This window comes from Homo sapiens, chromosome 4 (assembly GCF_000001405.40).
Source record: "Homo sapiens chromosome 4, GRCh38.p14 Primary Assembly".
NCBI lineage: Eukaryota > Metazoa > Chordata > Mammalia > Primates > Hominidae > Homo > Homo sapiens.
In genome coordinates, this window is record NC_000004.12 from 265,607 (window position 1) to 290,738 (window position 25,132).

Here is a 25,132-nt window from a genome sequence, read left to right on the forward strand (position 1 = left end):
TATATTTATGCTTTAATATATATTAAGGTATGTTACATTTAACACACTTTGTGTTAGATTCTCATACAATTTTTCTTTTACAAAGAGAAAAACGGTGCTCACTTAATCCTCTTACATGTGGACAGTGAATTAGTCTTACCTCAATTACATGATCTGAATGTTGCATTGATAAGCTATAATCTCAAACACGCCAGTTAAAAACAATATACATTAAAAATTCCAAACTTCTCATCAGAGCCTAGAAAGTCCAAGTGAAATTACATGGCATGAAGAGAACAGTGAGGAAACTGTAGCCATAACACAAAGAAGAGCAGTGAAGCATACATAGCTGGGGATAAACACATGAAGACATCAGAAAACTAAAGACAATTAGAAAATAAAAACAGAGGCCAGGTGCAGTGGCGGATGCCTGTAATCCCAGCACTTTTGGAGGCCGAGGTAGGTGGATCACCAGGTCAAGAGATCAAGACCATCCTGGCAACACGGTGAAACCCTGTCTCTACTAAAACTACAAAAATTAGCTAGGTATGGTGGTGTGCACCTGTAGTCCCACCTACTTGGGAGGCTGGGGCAGGAGAATCGCTTCAACCCAAGAGGCGGAGGTTGCGCTGAGCCAAGATCATGCCATTGCACTTCAGCCTGGTGACAGAGTGAGACTGTCTCAAAAAACAAAAAAAGAAATATAAGGAAAATTAAATGTTCCAATAAAATATAACTATACACATTGTAAAATTACATCTAAAAAGTATTTTCTGTGCACTAACTTTTTAAAAAAATTTTATAATTTCTGACCAGCCCACATACTTTATGGAGTTAAAAAAAAAGAATGAGAAACAAGAAAATTATACCTCTAGCATGAGCACCACATTAAAACAGAGACTTTTTACAGGGAGATTCTCAAAAATGATCCATTAGATTTTACAGTAATTACATAAAAATAAGAAAACATAGATTTTAATTCAAAATGTTTTAGGTTTCTAGATTTCCAGTAAATTATCCACAGTATTAATAGAAACTTCTTTGTTCCAATATTGCTATTTTCTTCGGAAAATAGGTACAAACTCTCATGCAAACACAATTGCTTGCTTCATAATTTTCTTACACCCAAGGTTTATCTTTAGAGCACAACATTTATATATTTAACTCCATGTAAATTAAAACTAAGTCTGTATGTTTACAGGAGAACATGATGCATGTCCAAAGATAAATATGAAACATTTTTGAAAATCATTCAGGACTCAGGAATGTATGAATTATAATTATACTCTGATATACTTATTACAATCATAAAATGACCTGTAGTAGAAAAAATTGTACATTTAAAAATAATTGAAGTGTATAATTAGATTGTGGGTAATATAAAAGATAAATGCTGGAGAAACCCCAACTCTACTAAAAATACAAAATTAGCCAGGTTGCCAGGCGCAGTGGCTCACACCTGTAATCCCAGCACTTTGGGAGGCTGAGGCAGGCAGATCACGAGGTCAGGAGATCGAGACCATCCTGGCTAACACGGTGAAACCCCGTCTCTACTAAAAATACAAAAAATTAGCCAGGCGAGGTGGCAGGCGCCTGTAGTCCCAGCTACTTGGGAGGCTGAGGCAGGAGAATGGTGTGAACCCTGGGGGGCGGAGTCTGCAGTGAGCCAAGATCACGCCACTGCACTCCAGCCTGGGTGACAGCGAGACTCCGTCTGGGGGGGGGGGGGGGGAATTAGCCAGGCATGGTGGCACATGCCTGTGATCCCAGCTACTCAGGAGACTGATTTAGGAGAATTGCTTGAACCTGGGAGGTGGAGGTTGCAGTGAGCCAAGATCGCACCATTGCACTCTGGCCTGGGCAACAAGAACGAAACTCTGTCCCAAGAAAAAGAAAAAGAAAAAAAAAAGATAAATGCTTAAGATAATGAATAACTCATTTACTCTGTCATTTATATATTGTATGCCTGTATCAAAATAACCCATATATACCATAAATATATACATAGTTATGTACCCACAAAAACTTTTTAAAAATTTAAATAAGAATAAAAATGCAACATGGGAACAATATTCAGTTTACTTGCTGTTTAAAGCCATTGGAAAAATAGACTAGAAATGTCATTCAGCTATGTTATCAGATAGTACATTGTTAGCATCTCTTACCTACACCCTTGAGTAAGGTGGAATAGGTGAAAGTTGGTGGCATAACACATCATTCAAGGCACAATAATTTCTACACATTAATAATTTTATTTAAAAAATTAAGGCCAGGCGCGATGGCTCACGCGTGGAATCCCAGCACTTTGAGAAACTGAGGCGGGTAGATCACCAGGTCAGGAGCTCAAGACCAGCCTGGTCAATATGCTGAAACCCTGTCTCTACTAAAAATACAAAATGTGGCCAGGCCTGGTGGTGTGTGTCTGTAATCCCAGCTACTCAGGAGGCTGAGGCAAGAGAATCACTTGAACCTGGGAGGCGGAGGTTGCAGTGAGCCAAGATTGTGCCACTGCACTCCAGGCTGGGCAATAGATTGAGACTCCGTCTCAAAAAAAAAAAATTAAGTTCACACATGATCTTAAAAGACAATTTTAAAATTTACAGCATTTTATTATTAAATAAATGTACAATTGGTAAAACAATTTACTACTAAAATTCAGATTGTTTCTCACAATAATGCAAAATGTTACTCTGAACACCTACTTCATGCATCACTCTAAGTCAACCACAAAAATCCTCTCTGCTTAGATTTTCCTCAGGCATCTTTCATTTGTTTTTTCTCTTTCATGTAAAAGTTCATGAATACTGCCCACCTAATGGAATTTCTCATATCTCTGGTGCAGCAATAATTCATCACATGCTTTCACATAAATGAGAAAACTGAAATACTATAATTTTGGATTTGAATTATTTGCTTTTCAAAAAATCTATACTTTTTTTCAAGTAAAAAAATATACTTTGAACGAAATCTCTTCAAAAATCTACTTCTTTTCAACTTATATACGCAGAACCTTTTTTTTTTTTTTTGAGGTGGAGTCTTGCTCTGTTGCCCAGGCTGGAGTGCAGTGGCACGATCTCGGCTCACTGCAAGCTCCGCCTCCCAGGTTCAAGCCATTCTCCTGCCTCAGCCTCCTGAGTACCTGGGACTACAGGCGCCCGCCACCACGCCCAGCTAATTTTTTGTATTTTTAGTAGAGATGGGGTTTCACCATGTTGGCCAGGATAGTCTCGATCTCCTGACCTCGTGATCCGCCCGCCTCGGCCTCCCAAAGTGCTGGGATTACAGGCGTGAGCCACCGTGCCCGGCCAACAAAGAAAGTTTCTAACAGGTTGAACTTTGGATTTTTTTACACTTAATACTCCGATTTCTTGTAAGGTGTTAGTTCCTTAGTTCTTTCTCCAGTAAATCCTCTGATGTTTACATAGGCTTAATTTTAGCCTAAATATTTCTCCACATTTATTGCATCTACAAATTCTCTTCTAATATAAACTCTCTAGTGTTTCTTAACCTGCAGTTTTTGAACAGATGTTTTTCCACATTTATTACATTTGTCGTATTTCGCTCCAATGTAAATTCTCTGATGTTGAACAAAGTTTGAGCAACTGCTTCTGAGTCTTCCGCTAGTACAAAATGTGTACAGTAAGATCCAGGATACAAGTACAGGTACTACACCCTCTTTATATTTGTATTGTCTGTCTTAAGAATACTCTTCTTCGCTTTAATGGCCTATATTTTCTAAAAGGTCTTTCAACAGAAATTACATTTATAATGCTTTTGTTAACCATAAATTCTGATATCTGGTAAGATGTGAGTAGAAATTAATGGCTTTTGTATTTTTATATTTGTGCAATTATTCTCATGTATAAATGCTATCACATGCAAAAAGATATGAGCATTGATTAAAAGTTTTGCCACATTTTTTGTATTTCTACTTTTCTTCAGTAGTAATTACATACAGTAAGATGTGATGAGAATTTGAAGTCTGCCGGGCGTGGTGGCTCACGCCTGTAATCCCAGCACTTGGGGAGGCTGAGATGGGCGGATCACGAGGTCAGGAGATCACGACCATCCTGGCTAACATGGTGGTACCCCGTCTCTACTGAAAATACAAAAAATTAGCCTAGCATGGTGGCGAGCACCTGTAGTCCCAGCTACTCGGGAGGCTGAGGCAGGAGAATGAAGTGAACCGAGGAGGCAGAGCTTGCAGTGAGCCAAGATCGTGCCACTGCACTCCAGACTGGGGGAGAGAGCAAGACTCTGTCTCAAAAAAAAAAAAAGAGAGAATTTGAAGTCTTTGCCACATTTTAATTTTTCATATGGCTTCTCATCAATATCATTTATCTTATGTTTAGAACACAGTGAGGTGTGGTTAAAAGCTTTCTCATATTTTTCACATTTCTGGAGTTTCTCTCCATTATGAATTATCTTACGATTAGAAAAGATTGAGGAACATTTAAAGACTGCCACATTCTTCATATTGGTAAGACATTCCTCCAGTACGAGTTCTCTTATGTTTAAGAATGCTGGAGTACAGCTTAAAGGCTTTTCCACATCCTTTACACTTGTATGGTTTTATCTCCAGTAAGAATTCTCCCTTTGGGAGGCCGAGGCGGGCGGATCACGAGGTCAGGAGATCGAGACCATCCCGGCTAAAACGGTGAAACCCCGTCTCTACTAAAAATACAAAAAAATTAGCCGGGCGTGGTGGCGGGCGCCTGTAGTCCCAGCTACTCGGGAGGCTGAGGCAGGAGAATGGCGTGAACCCGGGAGGCGGAGCTTGCAGTGAGCCGAGATCCCGCCACTGCACTCCAGCCTGGGCGACAGAGCGAGACTCCGTCTCAAAAAAAAAAAAAAAAAAAAAAAAAAGAATTCTCCTATGTACATAAAGGTTTCCGGACTGTCTAAAGGCTTTGCCACATTCTTCACATGTGTAGGGTTTCTCTCCAGTATGAATCCTATGTTCAATTAGGGTTTTGGAGCTATTAAAGGTTTTATGACATTCTAAACATTTATAGGGTTTCTCACCAGTATGGATTCTCTTACGTTTAGCAGAATTTGAGGATGAGGTAATGACTTTGCCAGATTCCTTACATTTGTAGGTGTTCTCTCCATTATGAATTTTCTCATGTTTATTTATGGGTGAGGACCGTTTATAGGCTTTCCCACATTCTTTACATTTGTAGGATTCATCTCCCATATGAATTTTCTTATGTTCACTCAGGGTTGTGGACCATCTAAAAGCTTTGCCACATTCTTCACATTTGTAGGGTTGCTCTCCAGCATCAATTTTCTTATGTTGATTCAGGTATGCGGACTGTTTGAAGGCTTTCCCACATTCTTTACATTTGTAGGGTTTTTCTCCAGTATGAATTCTTACTTTCATTCAGGGTTGTGGACCATCCAAAAGCTTTGCCACATTCTTCACATTTGTATAGTTTATTTCCAGTATAAATTTTCTTATGTTCATTCAGGTTTGTGGATCATCCAAAGGCTTTGCCACATTCTTCATATTTCTAGAGTTTCTCTCCAGTATAAATTTTATTATGTTGATTAAGGTATGAGGACCACTTAAAGGCTTTGCCACATCCTTTACATTTGGGGGTTTTATCTCCAGTATGAATTGTCTTATATTTATTCAGGACTCTGGAACGTCTAAATGCTTTGCCACACTCTTCACATCTATAAGGTTTCTCTCCAGTATGAATTTTCTTATGTTTACTCAGGTATGTGGACCATCCAAAGGCTTTGCCACACTCTTCACATTCGTAAGGTTTCTCTCCAGTATGAATTGTCTTATGTTTATTCAGGGCTCTGGAACATAAAAAGGCTTTGCCACACTCTTCACATCTATAAGGTTTCTCTCCAGTATGAATTTTCTTATGTTTACTCAGGTATGCAGACCATCCAAAGGCTTTGCCACACTCTTCACATTTGTAAGGTTTCTCTCCAGTATGAATTATCTTATGTTTATTCAGGTCTGTGGACCATCCAAAGGCTTTGCCACACTCTTCACATTTGTGGGGCCTCTCTCCAGTATGAATTCTCTTATGTTCATTAAGGGTTGTGAACCGACTAAAGGCTTTTCCACATTCTTCACATGTGTAGGGTTTCTCTCCAGTATGAATACTCTTATGTTTATTAAGGGTTGCGGATTGTCTAAAGGCTTTGCCACATTGTTCACATTTGTAGGGCTTCTCTCCAGTATGAATTCTCTTATGTTCATTCAGAACTGAGGACCTACTAAAGGCTTTGCCACATTCTTCACATGTGTAGGGTTTCTCTCCAGTATGAATTCTGTTATGTTTAGTAAGGGTTGTGGACCTATTAAAGACTTTGCCACATTCCTGACATTTGTAGAGTTTCTCTCCGGTATGAATTTTCTTATGTTTGGCAACATTTGAGGATGAGGTAATGATTTTGCCACATTCTTCACATGTGAAGGGTTTCTCTTCAGCATGAATTCTCTTATGCTTAGTAAGGGTTGAGGACCTATTAAAGGCTTTGCCACATTCTTCATATTTGTAAGATTTCTCTCCAGTATGAACTTTATGTTTAGCAAAGTTTGAGGATGTGGTAAAGATGTTGCCACATTCTTCACATGTGAAGGGTTTCTCTCCAGTATGAATTATCTCATATTCATTAAAGATTAAATACCATTTAAAGTCTTTGCCACATTCTTCACATGTGTAGGGTTTCTCTCCAGCATGAATTCCTTGATGTTGAGTTAGGTCTGAGAACTTCTGAAATGACTTGCCACATTCTTTAAAGTGTTTCTCTCCAGTATGTCTTATCCTACGTTGGTTTGAATTTGAAAATGTACTAAATACTTTGACATGTACATTACACTGAAATATTTTGCTCTGGATAGTTGACAAGCATTGATTAAATTCATTATAACCTCCTTTCTGCACCTTCCTTTTACAGCTTTTTCTTAATTCTAAATTCTCATGTCCACATTTCTCATATCTTCTTAATATAAGTTTGTGGAACGAATCTTCTATCCCCTGCACTGGCAAAAAGTCTTGGGTGAAATGAGAACACACAGCTGAAAGAAATAAAAATAAATTATCCTGCTTACTAGATTCATACGAATATACTTTAAAAATCTAATATATAAACTTATACAAAGTACATTAGTAAGATGGCATAACAAAATACCACAGGCCATAATTTCTTCACAGACATATATATGTAACAAACATATACTGATCAAAATGCCTTTTAGTGAAATTTATAAATGAGTTACATGCAATGCCTCAGGTAAGCACAATGCCAAGAGCCACATAGAACAGGATACAAAGTTTGTTACATTTACCAACCACAGTTCTTCCTCCTCCCCAATATAGCACTGTGCCATTAGAAGTAAACTGTCAACTCCTGTCTTCTTACTTAAAAGAAAAGAAAAATACTGACACGTATCCTTACTTCTGGCTTTTGGGGATCTTTACAAAAACTGGTTTCTGCCTCCAATAACAAAGAGTGCTGAAAGAAATGGTGATATACTTAGGAAGGACAGGTTGGGTCTGCTAAGACCAAATGTACATGTTTCAAGAGCAGACTGAAGTGCTAAATACAGACAACAGACCAAGTGATTAAAGACTCTTAAGAGGAAACATGAACAAACCCTTTTAACTAAAAAATAAACACAAAATTCTAGACAAGACACATCCTTCCAACATGTATGAGAGGTTACTATAATCCGTATCAAAGACAACTGGCTTCAGACTATGTCAGGAGAAAACAACATTGTAAAGGTTGTGATAAATAGCTTTTGGTTAATGTTCAAATAACAAGCAAATATTATAATGTATACAAAATATTAGAACATGGTCTAATTAAACAATTTAAAATTTTTCAGAAAACAACCATAAAAACAAAGATGTACAAATTTTTAAAATGTAACCTGAATAATGCTGAATCAGCTAAATGGAAACACGTACAACTAAATGTAATCAGAAAAATGAGAACATCAATGAAAACATTAAAAACAAAAAACAAATCATGAAGGTGAAAAATGCAAAATAAAGACAGAAATTTTCAAGTTAAAAAAGGATATAAAAACGGAAGAAGCTCAACAAACTTCAACAAGGTTACACACACAGATTTACAGCAAAGCACATATATAAGCAAAGTTTCAAAAATCAAACTCAAAAACGACATCTTAGGAGCTGCAAAATAAAAGTGATGTGTCATTTATAACTGTGGTCTTAAAAGATTACCAGTGAATCTGTCAACAAAACTATTTCGCAACAGAAAGAATTGGGATATTGTTAAGGTGCTAGGAAAAAAAAAAAAAACTTCTATGTGGGAATCATATAACCAGCAAAACTGTCCTAAAAATGAAGAAAGAATAAAGACCTTTCAAGATAACCAAATGCTGAAAAAGTATATTAGCACAACACGTCTTACCAAAAAAATGCTCAAGAAAGTATCTTCCAGTGAAAATAACATAATGTAAGAAAGCCAAACATAATCATATGAAAATATATAGCTTTCTGAAAAAGATATGCACATCCACAAAGTTCTGTACCACTATCATATTACAGAAAATATTGTAATTATTCTCTAAAATTTTAAAGAGGAAAGCATAAAAATGATCATAAACTGTTCATCATAATCTGGTAATAATACACAACAACAATATGATTACTGACATCAATAATGAAGTTGAGGGCAGATGTAATGAGGAGGAATTTTCAAATTCAATGGAAGTTAAGTTTTTACCAGTTTAAAATATATTATTTTAACTTAAAGAAATTTTATGTAATTCTCAAGATACCAGAAAAAAAGTATCTGTATAGATACACCAAAAAATAAGAATTAAAGGTGTATCAATACAAAAATAAAAAAGACTAAGGAAGACAGAAAAAGAAAATAAGGGACAAAGATAAAATAATCCAGTAAAACAATAAGATGAGTAAGTCTATTTCAGCAAATTATTCAAATATTTATGAAGTAAAGTTTCCATTCAAAATACATGCACCAAATAAGGGGATTGACTGCAAAAATTAAAAAACAAGATCCAACTTGCTTTTCTACAGGAGTCACTTGAGATGTAATGATTTAAAAAGACTGAAAAAGGCAAAATGAAAGAAGAGATTTCATGCAAATAACCAAATAAGAGGTCCAAATTATGTAATACAAAGTACATCTTAAGTCAAAACTGTCCTATTTCATAAAATATACTTTAAAAAGTCATAAGAAAGAAGGACATTAAACAATAATAATAATAAAGGTTCATTTACTGGGAACTAATGACAAACATGTCTATACATACGTTAATATGTGTGTGTGTCTCCCCCACATTGAGTTCCAAATATACAAAGCCAATACTCACAGAATTAAGACAAAGACAGCAATATAACTATAGTAGGATATTTAAATACCCCAGTTTCTGTAAGGAATAATGAAACAAGATAAAATATTCATAAGGAAACAGGAGACTTGAAACCAGTATTAAACTATTACGCCTAACAGAACTGTAGAGAACACTGCTCAGCAACAACTAAATACACACCCTTCTCAATACCTCATACAATATTCTCCTTGATAGACTACATGTCAGGGCACAAAAAAAGTCTTAAAGTTTTAAAATTGAAATTTTACAGATTACTTTTAATGACCAAACTGGAATGAGAGTAGAAATAAAGAAAACTAAAAAATTTACATATTTATAGAAATTAAACAACACACACTTAAGCATGCTCTTGTTCAAAGTTTGAAATAATGAGAATATCTAGACTGCTCAATATAATCTACAGATTAAATGCAATCCCTGTCAAATTTAATTAAATTATTGTAGTAATAGAAACAACAATTCCCATATTATATGGAATTAAGAAACAGTGAAGTACCCAACAATCTTCAAAAACAGAAGCAATCTCAGAGGCTTCACAGCTCCTGATTTCAAAACACATACAAATCTAAAGAATTAAAGCAATCTGGGATAGGTATAAAGCTGAACAGCTAGATCAACTAAATAAAATCTGGCAAAAATATAAACTCTCACACATGGTCACATGAAGAGTAATTTAGACACTCATAATTATTGCAGCACTGTTCCTGAAAGCAAATAACAGCAACGCATATTTCTCTCACTAAATAAATTGAGAAATATAATTTCAATTATTAAAATAATGAAATATTACTCAGTTTGTAAAAAGCAAAAAATAAACAAGTACAATAAAGATAAATCTTGATGACATTATACAACAAAAAGTCACGAAGAGACAAACTATATGAATCAACTTACACGAGATATCTAAAGCAGTTTGACTTTAAAATAAAAAACAGAATTGTTTGTGTAGAGTGAGAAAACAGAAAAAGTAGGTAGTTATATTGAGTGTTAGCTTTGCAAGATAAACATATTCTAAAAATATAGTGCATAAAATTATTAATAAAATGACTAAGCTGAATATTTAAAAATATATAAGATTTTAAATGTTATGCATTTTTGAAAACAATATATAAAAGAGATGGAGGTATGAGTTTTGGAAATTATCTTCAAATCACAAAAGTGTTACACACACACAAATATAGATTTACAAATAAATAGAGGGTAAAATTAGGAGAATTTCAATGACTACTCACCTAGGCAGGGTAAAACCACCATTGTTACACACAAACAAAATAAGTATACAACTTAAAAACAATAGGGAAACAATATGCAGAGAGATAAACACAGAGACTCTTATATTGGAAATAGATATATCACTGATCCATATTTGACTTATGCTCCACAGTCTTACAGTGTACATAGCTGAATGCTGTCATAGACAATAATAATACTAAATAAAAGCATCCTTGTTGTGTTCCAGATCTCAGATAAAAAGTTTTCTGCTCCTTCCTATTCAGTATGATTTCAGCCATTAATCTGTCATATACAATCTTTATTGCACTGAAGTACATAATATCTATACCTAATTTGTTGAGTTTCTTAAATCACAAAGACATGTTCAATGTTGCCAAATGCTGCTTCTGCATCAACAATAAAAAATAAAGATTTCTAGTAGCAAACATAATTAAAAAGGTGAACACTCTTTACACTGAAAATTGTAAATAATTAAAAAGTGAAAAAGACATGAAAATTTGAAAGATATATATTGCTCATAAAATTAAAAAATATGAAAGTGGCTATACTACTCAAGGTGATCTATAGATTCAACGCAATCTCTTATCAAAATACCAATGATTTTTTTCACAGAAATGGAAAAAACAAACTTAAACTTCACAGGGAACCACCAAAGACCCCCAAATAGCAAAAGTAATCCTAAGGGGGGGACAAAAAAAAACAGCTGGAAGCATCACACTACCTGACTCCAAAATATACTATAAAGCTATAATAAGCAAAACAGCATGATAATGACATAGACAGATCAAACTATCCAGTGAGCCCAGTAATAAATTCCTGAACCTAGAACCAAGTGATTTTCAACAAAAATGTCAAGAACTCACATTTGGAAAAAGACAGTCTTTTCAATAAATGGTGCTATGAAAATTATTTACATGATAATCAAAAAAATAAAACTAGGCTCCTACCTCTTACAATATAAAAAACTCAATCACAAATACAGATTTAAATGGGAAACTCAAACCTATAAAGTTATTTGAAATAAACATACAGGAATGCATTACCACATAGTACAGAGAAAAGAATCTTAAGACCTCAAAATCACAGGCAAAAGAAGCAAAAATATGCAAACGGGATTACAAGAAACTAAAAATGCTTTGCACAGTAAAGAAAACAATTAACAAAGTGAAGACGTAATCTACACAATGAAATAAAATATTTGCAAAATGTACATGACAAAAGATAAATTTACAGTATAACAAACTTAACAAAAATAACACACAATTTAAACATAGGCAAGAGGCCTTAAGAGACATTTTTCAAAAGAAATACAGATGGCCAAAAAGTACATGCAAAGATGCTCAACATCACTAATTGTCAGAGAAATGCAAATCAAAACCACAATATAAGACTTGACTCCAGTTAGAATGACTGTAATTAGAAAGACAAAAAAAAATGTTAGTGAGAATGAATAGAAAAGGAAACACGGTAAAACTGTAAGTTAGTAGAGCCATTATAGAAAAAAAACAAGTATCACAGGATAACATATATTTAAACAATCAACAAATGGTATTTTAACACTGTTTCTTTGACTCCCCACCTAGACAATAAACCATGAACTACCACACACACACAAAAAAAATTCAAATTGCTGGATCACAGGTTCTATTTTTAATTTTTTAATTAAATGGGATTGCTGGAACATACGTTAGTCCTATTTTGTTTGTAGCTAAAGAAAACAAAATCAGTATGTCAAAGAGAAATCTACACTCCAATGTTTATTAAAACACTATTTATAGCCAAGGTATTCGATCAATCCAAGTGTCCAAAACTTGGATGAATAAAGAAAATGTGGTATATATACACAACAAAATACTATTCAGCTACAAAAGAGAATATAATTTTGATATTTGCCACAACAGGAATGAACCTGGAGGCCATTACGTTAAGTGAAATAAAAGATACACTGAGACAAATACAAAAGATCTTACCCATATGTGAAATCTAATATAAACATTTATGAGGAAGGCTTTATGCAACTAGTCTCAACAATAACTTTTTGAATACAACATCAAAGGCTTAAGAAAAAAAATATGGACACACACATGGTACCACATCACTGTATCCAAAATATACCAAAAATATCCGAGGCAGGACTTTACATATTTACACATGCATGTTAATTATTATTTGCAAAAGACAATTCCTGGAAACAACACAAATGTCCCTTTAGAGATCAATATCAGATTTTTTAAATGTGACATACATACAATATTTTATTTTAAAACAGATATTCTGACACATCTTTGTGGAGGAAAAGTTAAATATTAAATTTGAACTCAACTGAACATGACAAACAATGGTCACCAAATCCCAGAATGGGTTGTGTGAGCCCCCAGCACTGTTTCAAAGAAATTTCTATTTCAATCTATTCCTATATGTTAGTTATTGAAAAACAATAGACAATCGCAAACACAATTTGACCTTTTTGTGTTCCTTGAGTCCAGTCACAAAGGGCCCTTGTGACTGGGCCTCATGCCAAACAACTCATTACAAAAAGAGCTAGGGTCCCAGACCATGCCGAAGCTACATGAGACCTCTCTTCGTCTGTGCACGGAAGGGTGGCGGACTCTGGAGCCCAGGCTGTTGCTTCCCAGTCTAGTGGTGAATCCTCCACAGGCTGGTGAGTGTAGTGTCTGACTCTGGAGCCCAGGCTATTGCTTCCTAGTCTGGTGGTGAATCCTCCATAGTCTGGTAAATGTAAATATATATATCTCCTTTTCCTTCTCCCCTTCCCATTGCAATTTGCTTATTGTATCATTTGCTTATATATCTGCATTGCCATTTACATGGGATAAAGGTTGTTTACCCTTAAAGATATTGTGTGTGTGTCTTTTCTTCTCCCCTCACGCGTTTCCCGCACAGGACAATCTTACAAAAACAAAGCCTGAGAACATTATGTTAAGTAAACTGAGATAGTGAAAAAAAAAACAGACATGGGGGCCGGGTGCAGTGGCTCATGCCTATAATTCCAGCACTTTGGGAGGCCGAGGCGGGCAGATCACGAGGTCAGAAGATCAAGACCATCCTGGCTAACACGGTGAAACCTTGTCTCTACTAAAAATACAAAAACAAAAAAAATTAGCTGGGCGTGGTGGTGGGCGCTTGTAGTCCCAGCTACTCTGGAGGCTGAGGCAGGAGAATGGCGTGAACCCGGGAGGCAGAGCTTGCAGTGAGCCAATATCACGCCACTGCACTCCAGCGTGGGTGACAGAGCGAGACTCCGTCTCAAAAAAAAAAAACAACAACCAGACATTATATTATATAATTACACCAATAAGAATATAAAAATCAGTCAAAATTATAGAAATAGTAAGTAAAATGGTGTTCTTCAGGACCTGAAGAGAAAAAAATGGCAGTTTATTGTTTATGAGGTATGAACTTTACTTTGATAAAATTAATCTAGAGATCCATTTCAAAATAATGTAAATGTACTTAACTCCACTAGGCTGTACACTTGAAAACCTTTAAGCAATGTTAGGTTTTTCATCACAACTAAATATTTACATCTACCTAAAAAGGTTACATTTTTCAAAAATCACCTTCAAATAAAAAGTGTTTCTCTCACAGAATAACATATACTCAAACAATAAATAGGTGGTAATTTTTTACTGTTTCTTTGACTACTCACCTATAAAAGAAAACAGTGATGACCACCAGAAAGAAAAATTTATAAACCAGGTAGGGGCATTATTTACACAGGCAAACACCACATAGATAACTTTTATAGGCTATAGAAATGTCTGAATTACACATATATTTTAAATTGCTCCAAGTGAAACCCAATGATTTTTATTTGAATTAAACACCACATGGTCATAAAAGGTACAGAGTTGAAAATTACCATACAAATATGAAGATTAAAAACAAAAAATAATTGAGGAGAACCTACATGAAAAAAGACTCCCCAGTAAAATAGAGTTTGAAAACAATAAAAAATTCTGACCTATAAAATATAGAATATAGATGTAGATGTATCATAAAAACAATCCTTCAAACAACTACAGTTTTCAACTGTGACTATGTACTTATGAAGATCCAGCATTTTGAATCTTTGACATGCAATGTACAGCAGTAAGAAAAAAAAAAAAAACGGCCAGCTGCAGTGGCTCACACCTGTAATCCCAGCACTTTGGAAGGCTGAGGCAGGTGGATCTCAAGGTCAGGAGTTCGAGACCAGCCTGACCATCTCTACTAAAAATACAAAACAAAAAAATTAGCCGGGTGTGGTGGCTGGCGCATGCCTGTAATCCCACCTACTCGGGAGGCTGAGGCAGGAGAATTGCTTGAATCCGAGAGGCAGAGGTTGCAGTGAGCTGAGATGGTACCATTGCACTCCAGCCTGGGCAACAAGAGCAAAAAATTCTGCCAAAAAAAAGCAGCAGTTATGTCCTGAAAAAGGAAATTTATGGGAGCTTTGGAATCCATGTCAAGGGTTGTGAACCCAAGACTGAGGAGGGCTGTATTGAAAAGGCATGCCCTTGCTTGAGTGGCATGCTTGCCCATCACAGTCCCAGCTACAGAATAAAATGTGTCCAATTTTCATTGTAGACTTAGCTGCAGACCATTTGGTTTTGTTCCTGCTACTAGCACCATCTGCAAAGACACCTAGGAGAATTTCTAATGTTCTATGCCTCAGGTGAAAGGCCTTTAGAAGTTGGTTCTATCTGTGATCTCTGAATTAGCCCCAAATCCACTCTTTACACATGTCAGTCATGGTGTGGAAGGAATCCTGCCCAGACACCCACAGAGAGAAACATCCATCTGTGCCCGAATGTAGGCTTGCCAATAATTATTTGACAGTGGATCTTGACGTGGCACTATAAGCTGGCTCCAAGTCCATGCAACCAAGTCCAGAAGAAGTTTTTCCTAACCTGGGACCTGCCAAAAAGCACACCTGTATGTGCCCCTGTAGGCATGCTGGCTGACTTTATTCCCACTGTGAATTGTAAAGCAGTCCTATAACCAAGCTCTGGTCTCTGTCATCTAGAGTCTGGAAGAAGTCCTACCCACCTAGAAATCCACAGGGAGAAATACCGTTAACCCAGAAAAAGACCTGAACACTTTGGTCTCAGCTGTGTATCCTGAAGCAGCCGCATGAATCAGTTTCATACCCTCTCAGCTGTGATCAAGGGTCATTACTGCTCATCTAGGAACCTGTCCAATGACTAGGTTAGAGCATTTCCAAACACCTCGCAAGAGCGACACAGCAGGAGCCACACCTGCTCACATTGATTGTATCAGCACCTTAATCTGCATATATAACTGGAGGCTTTTTTCCTCAGTGCCAGTCATATTGATCAACATCTTGAAGAAAGTTCAGTCTTCTCAGAAAATAGAATCCACAACTGTCTGATGCCCTGATGACAGGTCTGCCAAGCAGGAATTTCACTGCAAACCCAGTAGTAGCTACGTGACCCGGATTCCAAAGCACTTTATTGCAACCTCAGTGGAAATCTCATCAGCCCAGAAATCCAATGGGAGAAGATATTTACCTCCTCAAACTAGTCTATAATGACTGAAAGAGGTATTTACTCCTTCAGATGCAAGGACATCAAAACAAAGCCTCATGAATTATGAAGGATCAGGCAAACATAACAGCATGAAAGGAAACTAAAAATGCTCCAGGAAGCACTAACAATAAAACACAGATCTAAAAAATGGCTAACAGAGAATTTAAAATAATTATCTTTAAAAATCTCGATAAGATGCAAAAGTACACATATTACTAAATTTTTTGCAACAATGCATGAAGAAAACCAATGATAATAAAGAAAGATAAGCCATTAACAAAGAACCAAGGCGATATGCTGGAGCTGAAGTACACAATAGTAGAACTAAAATATTTAACAGAAAGCTTTAACAGGAGACTCAGTTATACAGAAGGGGAAAAATCAACAAACTTAAAAGTCATTTGAAAGTTCGTAAATAGACTTTTTTTAAAAAAGTGAATAAAGCATATAGCTTCAATAATTTGTTAATGGTATATAATATAAAAAGATGTAAAGTGTGACATAAATAGTGTGTTGAAAGGAGTAAAACTGTTTAATATTTTTATACATAGAAGTTCACTTTTGCTTGAGGCCAGGAGTTCAAAACCAGCCTGGTCAATATAGCAGGACCCTGTCTCTAAAATAAATACATAAATAAAATAAAATAAAGATTTCAGAAAGCTATTTATTCTTTTTTTAAAAAGAAGCAGTTGGGCCTGATAATGCATGCCTATAAACCTAGCACTCTGGGAGGCCAAGGCAGGTAGATTTCTTGAGCCCAGAAGTTCATGACCAGCCTGAGCAACATGGCAAAACCCTGTCTCTACAAAAAATACCAAAAAAATTAGCTGGACATGGTGGCATGTGCTTGTAATCCCAGCTACTTGGGAGGCTGATATGGGAAAAGTGTTTGATATTGGAGAGTTCAAGGCTGCACTGAGCTGTGAACCCACCACTGCACTACATCCTGGGAAACAAAGTAAGATCCTATGTGGGTAAAAAAGAAGTTAGATTGTTACCTTAAGCTAGACTTTTTAAACTATGAGATATTTTATGGTCCCTTGGAAATTACAAAAAAAAAAATGTTGAAGATACATACACACAAAAGAAATTAAAGCATATAACAAGAAAAATGAAACAAACTCAACACCATACAAGGGAAGGCAGCATGAAAGAAAAAACAGAAATTACTAAATGGTTAGAAAACAATGAACAAAATGATAGTAATAAGTTCTTATCAATCAGTAATTCCTTTAAATATAAAAAAAATTTAGTTAGCCAATAAAATCACATTGCTATGGTTTGAGTGCCCCCTCCAAAATTCATGTTAAAATGTAACTGCCATTGTGAGAAAATTAATAAGTGAGGCCTTTAAGAAGTTATAAGGTCATGAGAGGATCAGTATCATTATTCCACGAGTGGGTTAGTCATCATGAGTGGGTCTATCATAAAAGTGAGCTCGTGTTGTGATGTGGAAATATGATTGTCATCAGATGGGAATGACATGCTCTTGGACTTCTTGGCATCCCAGATTGTGAGCTAAGGAAACTTCTATTCTTTATAAATTACCAACTGTAGGATATTGTTATTGATGCAAAAAATAAACTAAAACACTCGCGAAATGTCTGAATAGATTTAAAAAATCAACAACATGCTGCACACAAGCGACTTACTTTAGATTTAAGGAAATACATAGGTTAGTGGTTCAAGGATGAAAAAAAAATTCCATGCCAGTAATAACTAAAAGAGTATAGAAGTGGCTATATTTACATCAGACAAAATAGACTTCTAAAAAAAATCTGCCACAAAAAAAAAAACTTCATGATATAGTGATAAGAGGCTAATCTGTCAAAAGAATATAACAATTAAAAATATATATATACCCAATATTGGAGCACATAAATATATAAACATATATTAAAAGAAATGGAGAAACAGAAAAACATAATACTGGGGGACTATATTGCCCTACTTAATACATCATTCAGACTGAAAGTTAGTAAGAAAACAATTGCTTGCATAGCACTATAAAACAACTGCACCAAAAGACATATATATAGAACATTTCATCCAAAAGAATAATTTATATTCTTCTCAAACACACATGGAATATTCTCTAGCATACATCATAAATCTGGCCCACAACAAAGACAAACAAGTCTTTTCATTTTTTAAAAGACTGAAATCATATCAACTTGTTTGTGTTTTTTTTAGTTTTTTTGAGAAGGAGTCTTGCTCTGTCGCCCAGGCTGTAGTGCAGTGGTGCGATCTCGGCTCACTGCAAGTTCCGCCTCCAGGGTTCACGCCATTCTCCTGCCTCAGCCTCCTGAGTAGCTGGGACTACAGGCACCCGCCACCACGCCCGGCTAATTTTTTTGTATTTTTAGTAGAGACAAGGTTTCACCTTGTTAACTAGGATGGCCTCGATCTCCTGACCTCGTGATCCACCCACCTCAGCCTCCCAAAGTGCTGGGATTATAGGCATGAGCCACCGAGCCCAGCCTGAAATCATATCAAGTTTTTAAATTACAATTTTATAAATGAGAAATCAATAGCAGAGTGAACATTGAAAATCTTACAAATATGTGTATATTAGACAACATGCTTCTGAACAACTGATGAGTCAAAGAAGAAAAAGAAAAGAAAAATCAGAAAGTATCTTGAGACAAATGAAAATAGAAATAGGACATATCAAAAGTAGAATGTAACAAAAGCAGTTCCAAGACAGAATGTTATAGTAATATAATTTTATATTTAAAAAATCTCAAACACTGTAACTTTAATTCTTAAATAACTTGAAAAACAATAATCTCAATGTTAGGATAATAAAGAAAATAATAAAAAACAGAACAGAAACAAATTAGAGACTTAGAAGACAACAAATACTGGGTGCAGTGGCTCATGCCTGTAATCCCAGCTCTTTGGGAGGCTGAGGCGGGTGGATCACGAGATCAGGCAATCAAGACCAGCCTGGCCAACATGGTGAAACCAAGTCTCTACTAAAAATACAAAAATTCGCCGGGCGTGGTGGCGGGCACTTGTAAACCCAGCTACTCGGGAGGCTGAGGCAGAAGAATCGCTTGAACCCAGGAGGCGGAGGTTGTGGTGAGCCAAGATCACACCACTGCACTCCAGCCCGGGCCACAGAGTGAGACTCTGTCTCAAAAAAAAAAAAAAAAAAAAAAAGAAGAAGAAAAAGAAACAAACAAAAAACAAAAAAGATAAAAGGCAGAGAAAGAATTTACATATAAAAGTTTTCTAAGTCAAATATTTTAAGAAAAGGAAGGAGTAAATACTTTTCCTTTTTTCCAGCTGGAGGATTAAGTCTGTTTCTATTTTACATTTATATTTACAATAACCACATCCAACAATTTTGCCTAGAACTCACGGACATCTGATTTCCAGCAGGGCCTGGATTCAGGCACCTGCAGGGTGACCTGAGGCATACTATGTTCACAGGAAAGAGTGTTTGTGAGGGAAAAAAAAATGCAGAATAAGAAAAGATGTTATCAAGAACCCAAGAGTGAGGGTCAGTGCACAGGTGGAGAAAGGACTGGTTACTGCTATAGATACTGGCCCAGGCAGGCAGCTCTGACTTATGAATGTGTGTGTGCAGGGAGATAAGATGGTCAGGTGATCCAGAAGCCTAGGCTACTGGAGGAAACAGGTTACTGGTGCAGATTGAAGATCTGAGTGGTAGAAAGAACCCATGAGTCTTCTGGGCACTTATGTGTCCTATTATTGGAAAACTCTAGAAGCAGAGGTGCTCTCAGTACAATTCCTGAGAATGAAGCTTTGTCATGGGAGAAGTGTGGCCACACCATTGCCTAGCGTGCATGTGTGTGAATGTGCAGAAATCACTTTATAGCAAAAGGAGTCAGAACTCCTTCCCTTTGAGTACTCAGTCCCCTCTCACCCCCGGAGGATACCTAGAATCACAAGACGATTCACAGTGTGACAGCTTCTGTGCAAAATTTTAAACTCTCCATTCTCCAACAGACCCACGGTCTCCCTCCAACTAGGGCTGCTGTGATACCTTTATGTGTTTTTGAGACAATGTCTCACTTTGTCACCCAGGCTACAGTACAGTGACACAATCTCAGCTCATGCCAGACTCAACCTCCCAGGGTTCAAGCGATCCTTCTGCCTCAGCCCCCAAGTAGCTGGAACTACAGGTGCATGCCACCATGCCCGGCTAATGTTTATCTATTTTTTGGTAGAGATGGGATTTCACCACATTGCCTAGGCATGGTGCAACCAGGAGGAACTCCCAACTCTATGCTTCTTCCTCAGCAGAGAAAGAAAGTGGGATATGTGTCCACATTTCTGGTTTTTGGGGAACTGTGCGAAGATGAGTTTTGTCTCCCCTGACAAAAAGTGCTGAAGGAAATGGTGGTATACTTTAAATTGCAGCAGCTATGCATATTTTGCATTAATATAACAAGCAATCCTGAAATTTTATCAGAATTAAAGAGACCAGAAGTGCTCAAGAATTGTCAAAAAGAGAAACATCAGAAGCATCATACATCATTACTTTAAAAACTAATTATGAAGCTATAGTTATTGAAACAGTTTATAACTAGATTTTAAAAAGACAATGACAGTGAACAGAAGAACATGTAAATAATCCCTTGCATGTATTATCAAATGAAGAGTAATTTACACATCCATATTCATTGTGGCATCATCTACAAAACTGAAAAAAACTTTTCTTAATAAAGACAATTTTGAATATACAAATAAATATTATTCAGCTTCTTAAAAGCAGAAAAGTTTTTCTATATCCACAATGAGGATACATTTTTAAGACTTTATTTAGGTGGAGGAAGCCAGGCACAAGAAGACAAGTGCTATGTAATTCCACTTATGTAAGATATCTAAAGTAGTTAAATGCTTAGAAACAGACTAAACTGTGACAGGGGTTAACTGCAGAAGAAAATGAGTAGCTGTTGTTTAATGGACAACCTGTTAGAATGCAAAACAACTCTTTTTTTAACTTTATTTTAGGATGGGGTATATGTGCAAGTTTGTTATACAGGTAAACTTGTGTCATAAAGGTTTGTTGTACAGATTATTTCTCATCAAGGTATTCAGCCTGGTATGCATTAAAGATTGAATTATACAATACCTCCTTTCAGACCACATGGAATAAAACTAGAAATCGGCCAGGCTCTGTGGTTCACGCCTGTAATCCCAGCAGTTTGGGAGGCCAAGGTGGGCGGATCACGGGGTCAGGAGATCAAGACCATTCTGGCTAACATGGTGAAACCCCGTCTCTACTAAAAATATGAAAATTATCTGGGCGTGGTGGTGCACGCCTGTAGTCCCAGCTACTCAGGAGGCTGAGGCAGGAGAATGGCGTGAACCCGGGAGGCGAAGCTTGCAGTGAGCCAAGATGGCGCCACTGCACTCCAGCCTGGGCGACAGAGCAAGACTCCGTCGCAAAACAAAACTAGAAATCAAAAGCAGAAGCAAAATTGCCAAATCCAAGAATATGTGAAACTTAACATACTTTTTTTTTTTTTTAAAGACGGAGTTTTGGTGTTGCCCAGACTGTAGTGCAATGGCGTGATCTCGGCTCACTGCAGCCTCCGCCCCTCGGGTTGAGGTGATTCTCCTGCCTCAGCCTCCCGAGTGGCTGGGATTAGAGGTGTGTGCCATCACGTCCAGCTAATTTTTGTATTTTTAGTAGAGACGGGGTTTCGCCATGTTGGCCAGGGTAGTCTCGAACTCCTGACCTCTGGTGATCCACCCGCCTCGGCCTCCCAAAGTGCTAGGATTACAGGCGTGAGTCATCGCACGTGGCCAACACACTCTTGAACATACTCTTCTTTATGTCAGGAGATTTAATATTGTCAAATGACAATACTACCCAGTGATATTCAAATTCAATGTAATCCTGATGAAAACACAAATGATACTGTTTGAAAAATATATATATATATTTTTTTTTGAGATGGAGTCTCGCTCTGTCACCCCAGGCTGGAGTGCAGTGACAAAATCTTGGCTCACTGCAAGCTCCGCCTCCCGGTTTCACACCATTCTCCTGCCTCAGCCTCCTGCCTTCAGATATACTTTGGATATTTTGAATAGGTGCTCAGAAGTAGAATTACTGGCTCATATAATAACTGCATTTTTAGTTTTTGGAGGAACCTCCATACATTTTTTTCAGGTGGTTGCATCACTTTTTCCCCACCAACAGTGCACAAGAGTTTCAATTTCTCTACATTCTTTACAACATTTTTTTTTTGCTTTATATTGGCCATCCTAATTAATGCACAACAATAACCTTATTGTGGTTTTGCCTTACATTACTCTAAAAATTAGAAATTTTCTCAATAATTGTTATATGTATTTCATCTCTGGAGAAACATTTTCATCTCTTGTCTATTTGTTAATCATGTTATTCTTTGTTGATTTTTTGGAATTGTTTATTCTGAATGTTAACTTTTGTCAAACACATAATTTTTAATTTTTTTTGCTTTTGTGCTTCTTAGGTGGGACTCTTAATGTTTGTTAATGTGCAGAGATAAATTTAATGTAGTCTCATTTTTCTGTGGTTTTAAGTTTGTTGCTCATGTGTTTGATGTTATATGTAAGAAAACATTGCTGAGACCAACGTCATAGTCTCTATTCCTATATTTTCTTCTAAAAATTGTAAAGTTATAATTCTTACATTTCAATATTTAACTCACTCAAGATAGTTTTTGTACATGGTTCAGGGGAAGGATCCAACCTCAATTTTTCCCATGTGGATACAGAGTATTCCAACACCATTTATTAAAGAGACTGTCTTTTTCTTATTGTATGGTTATAGCAACCTTGTTGAAGATCATTTGAGCATATACATGATGGTTAGTTTTTGAGTTCTCTGTTCTGTTCTATCATCTATTTGTTTTCCTGCAAATACCTCACTGTTTTTATTTATGTAGCTTTGTATTCTGTTCTAAAAACAAGAAGTGTTGTGCCTCTAGCTTTGTTCTTATTTTCTAAGATTGGGCCATGATGGTCCTTGAAATTCTATGTAAATGTAAGAATTTTTAAAAATATTTTTCCAAAAAGTAGGCTGGGCGCAGTGGCTCATGTCTGTAATCCCAGCACTTTGGGAGGCGGAAGTGGGCTGATCATGAGGTCAGGAGATTGAGACCATCCTGGCTAACACAGTGATGTAACAGGGTTTTGAAACCCAAAACATCCATGTTATTGCAACAATATTCACTGTATTAGTTTATCCTCGTATTGCTATAAATACCTGACACTGGATATCTTATTTTTAAATAGAGATTTAATTCGCTCATGGATCTGCAGGCTGTACAGAAGGCATAGCAGCTTCTGTTTCTCAGGAGGCCCCAAAAAGCTTCCAATCATGGCAGGAAGCCAAGCAAGAGTGAGTCATCTCACATGGTAGAAGCAGGAGCAAGTGTGTGGAAGAAGCTGCTTTTAGAAAATGAGATCTCTTTAGTTATTAAAAGAAAACTGCAGAACTCCTCATTGGTTTTCCTTTACCTAATGATTTCTGTGAAGTGAGACTTGGGTAGTAGGAAGAAGGAATTAGACACTCTACCTGCCACCCTGCATGTGTGTGCGCTCGCGCACATGCTGTCTACATGTAATCCACTCCTTTTACTTTCCTTTGAAACTGGTAAGGTTAAAATAGGGGAGAAATCCTACATGTTGCAATGATAGCTTTTTGGAAAATTTAAGAAATCAAACTCTCCAGGCTCTCCATCTTGATTTATGCTTGAATTGTTATGTGCCATATTTGCTTTGAACTCTGATTACCAGAAGTTTTACTAAAATGTTGAAGAAATAATTCACTTTCACCTGCTTTCTAGATTTTGTACATCTCAGTTCATAAAGCAAGCTTATTGTTAGCATAGTTTTCTAAATGCTGCAGATTTGCAGCCATTACCACTACAAAGAATTTTGAATGAGGGATTTTTTTTCTTTGTTAAAATAGTTCGTGTTTCTGTAGAAATTTCACTTTTAGATTGAACTGCAATGGATAAGCTATCAAAAATAAAAAGAAAGAAAATGAGATCTCAGGAGAAGTCACTCACTATGGCAAAGACAGTACCAAAGGGGATGGTACTAAACGATTCATGAGAAGCCAACCCTACGATCCCATCACCTCCCACCAGGCCCACCTCCATGAGGGCTTGTAATTTGATGTGAGATTTGACTGCAGACACAGATCCAAGCCATATTATTTACAAAAGCCAAAACATGAAAAAACTCAAACATCCTTCAACAGTTGAATAATTTAAAAGGATGTGGCTTACACATACAATGAAAAATTATTTAGACTCAAAATGAAAATATCTTGTCAGATGCTACAATATGGATAAATCTTAAAGCCATTATTTTAAGTGAAATAAAACACTAACGAAGTGACAGTGTAAGATTCCACTTATATAAGGTATTTTACTTAGTAAACTCCTACAAAACATAAGTAGAAAATTGCTTGCCTATAGTTAGGGTTGTGAAACCTCAGTGGAGTCAAAGATCAAGGGGGGTTACTTGGAAAAAGCAGGCCCTCACCAGGTGGCCAACTCAAGAGCCCATAGACATAGCTACAGACAAGGAAATTATGCACAGAGTTTGGTCTTACTGAGGATTCCAAAAATAGTTCTGTAACCTCTCTCAAATTCAATCTCAGCTATAGTCCAGAAGTGGTCCTTCCCATCAAGAGACCTGCAGGAAGACACAGCCAGCAATGGCCCTGGAGGCAGGCCTGCAGATCCTGGCCTCAGCTGTGGTCCCTGAAGCAGCCCTGCAGATCCTGGCCTCAGCTGTGGTCCCTGAAGCAGCCCTGTGACTCAGTTCTAGCCATATGTAGTCACAGTCTGTGGCCATTCGTACACATTCAGAGGCTCACAGAGAGACCTGTAAAAACTGTTCCCAGGTAGTCAGCAGAAGCCAAACCCATTCATACACCTGTTATTTGGGCCATCATATACAGACAAACTTCAAAACCCTAGCCTACAACCTGCCATATAGATTAATGTCCTCAAGGAAATCTAATCTTTTC

General features: G+C 36.7%; 1 protein-coding gene across 1 annotated transcript in view; it reads right to left on the minus strand.

Moving 5' to 3' along the window:
- Positions 1 to 5,068: 5,068 nt before the first annotated feature.
- ZNF732 (zinc finger protein 732) overlaps positions 5,069 to 25,132 on the minus strand; it is a 34,800-nt gene continuing 14,736 nt past the window's right edge. Inside the window, exon 4 of the mRNA NM_001137608.3 lies at positions 5,069 to 7,024. Within this exon, the coding sequence (NP_001131080.1) occupies positions 5,493 to 7,024 (1,532 nt within the window). The 3' untranslated portion in view covers positions 5,069 to 5,492. The remainder of the gene's footprint in view (positions 7,025 to 25,132) is intronic.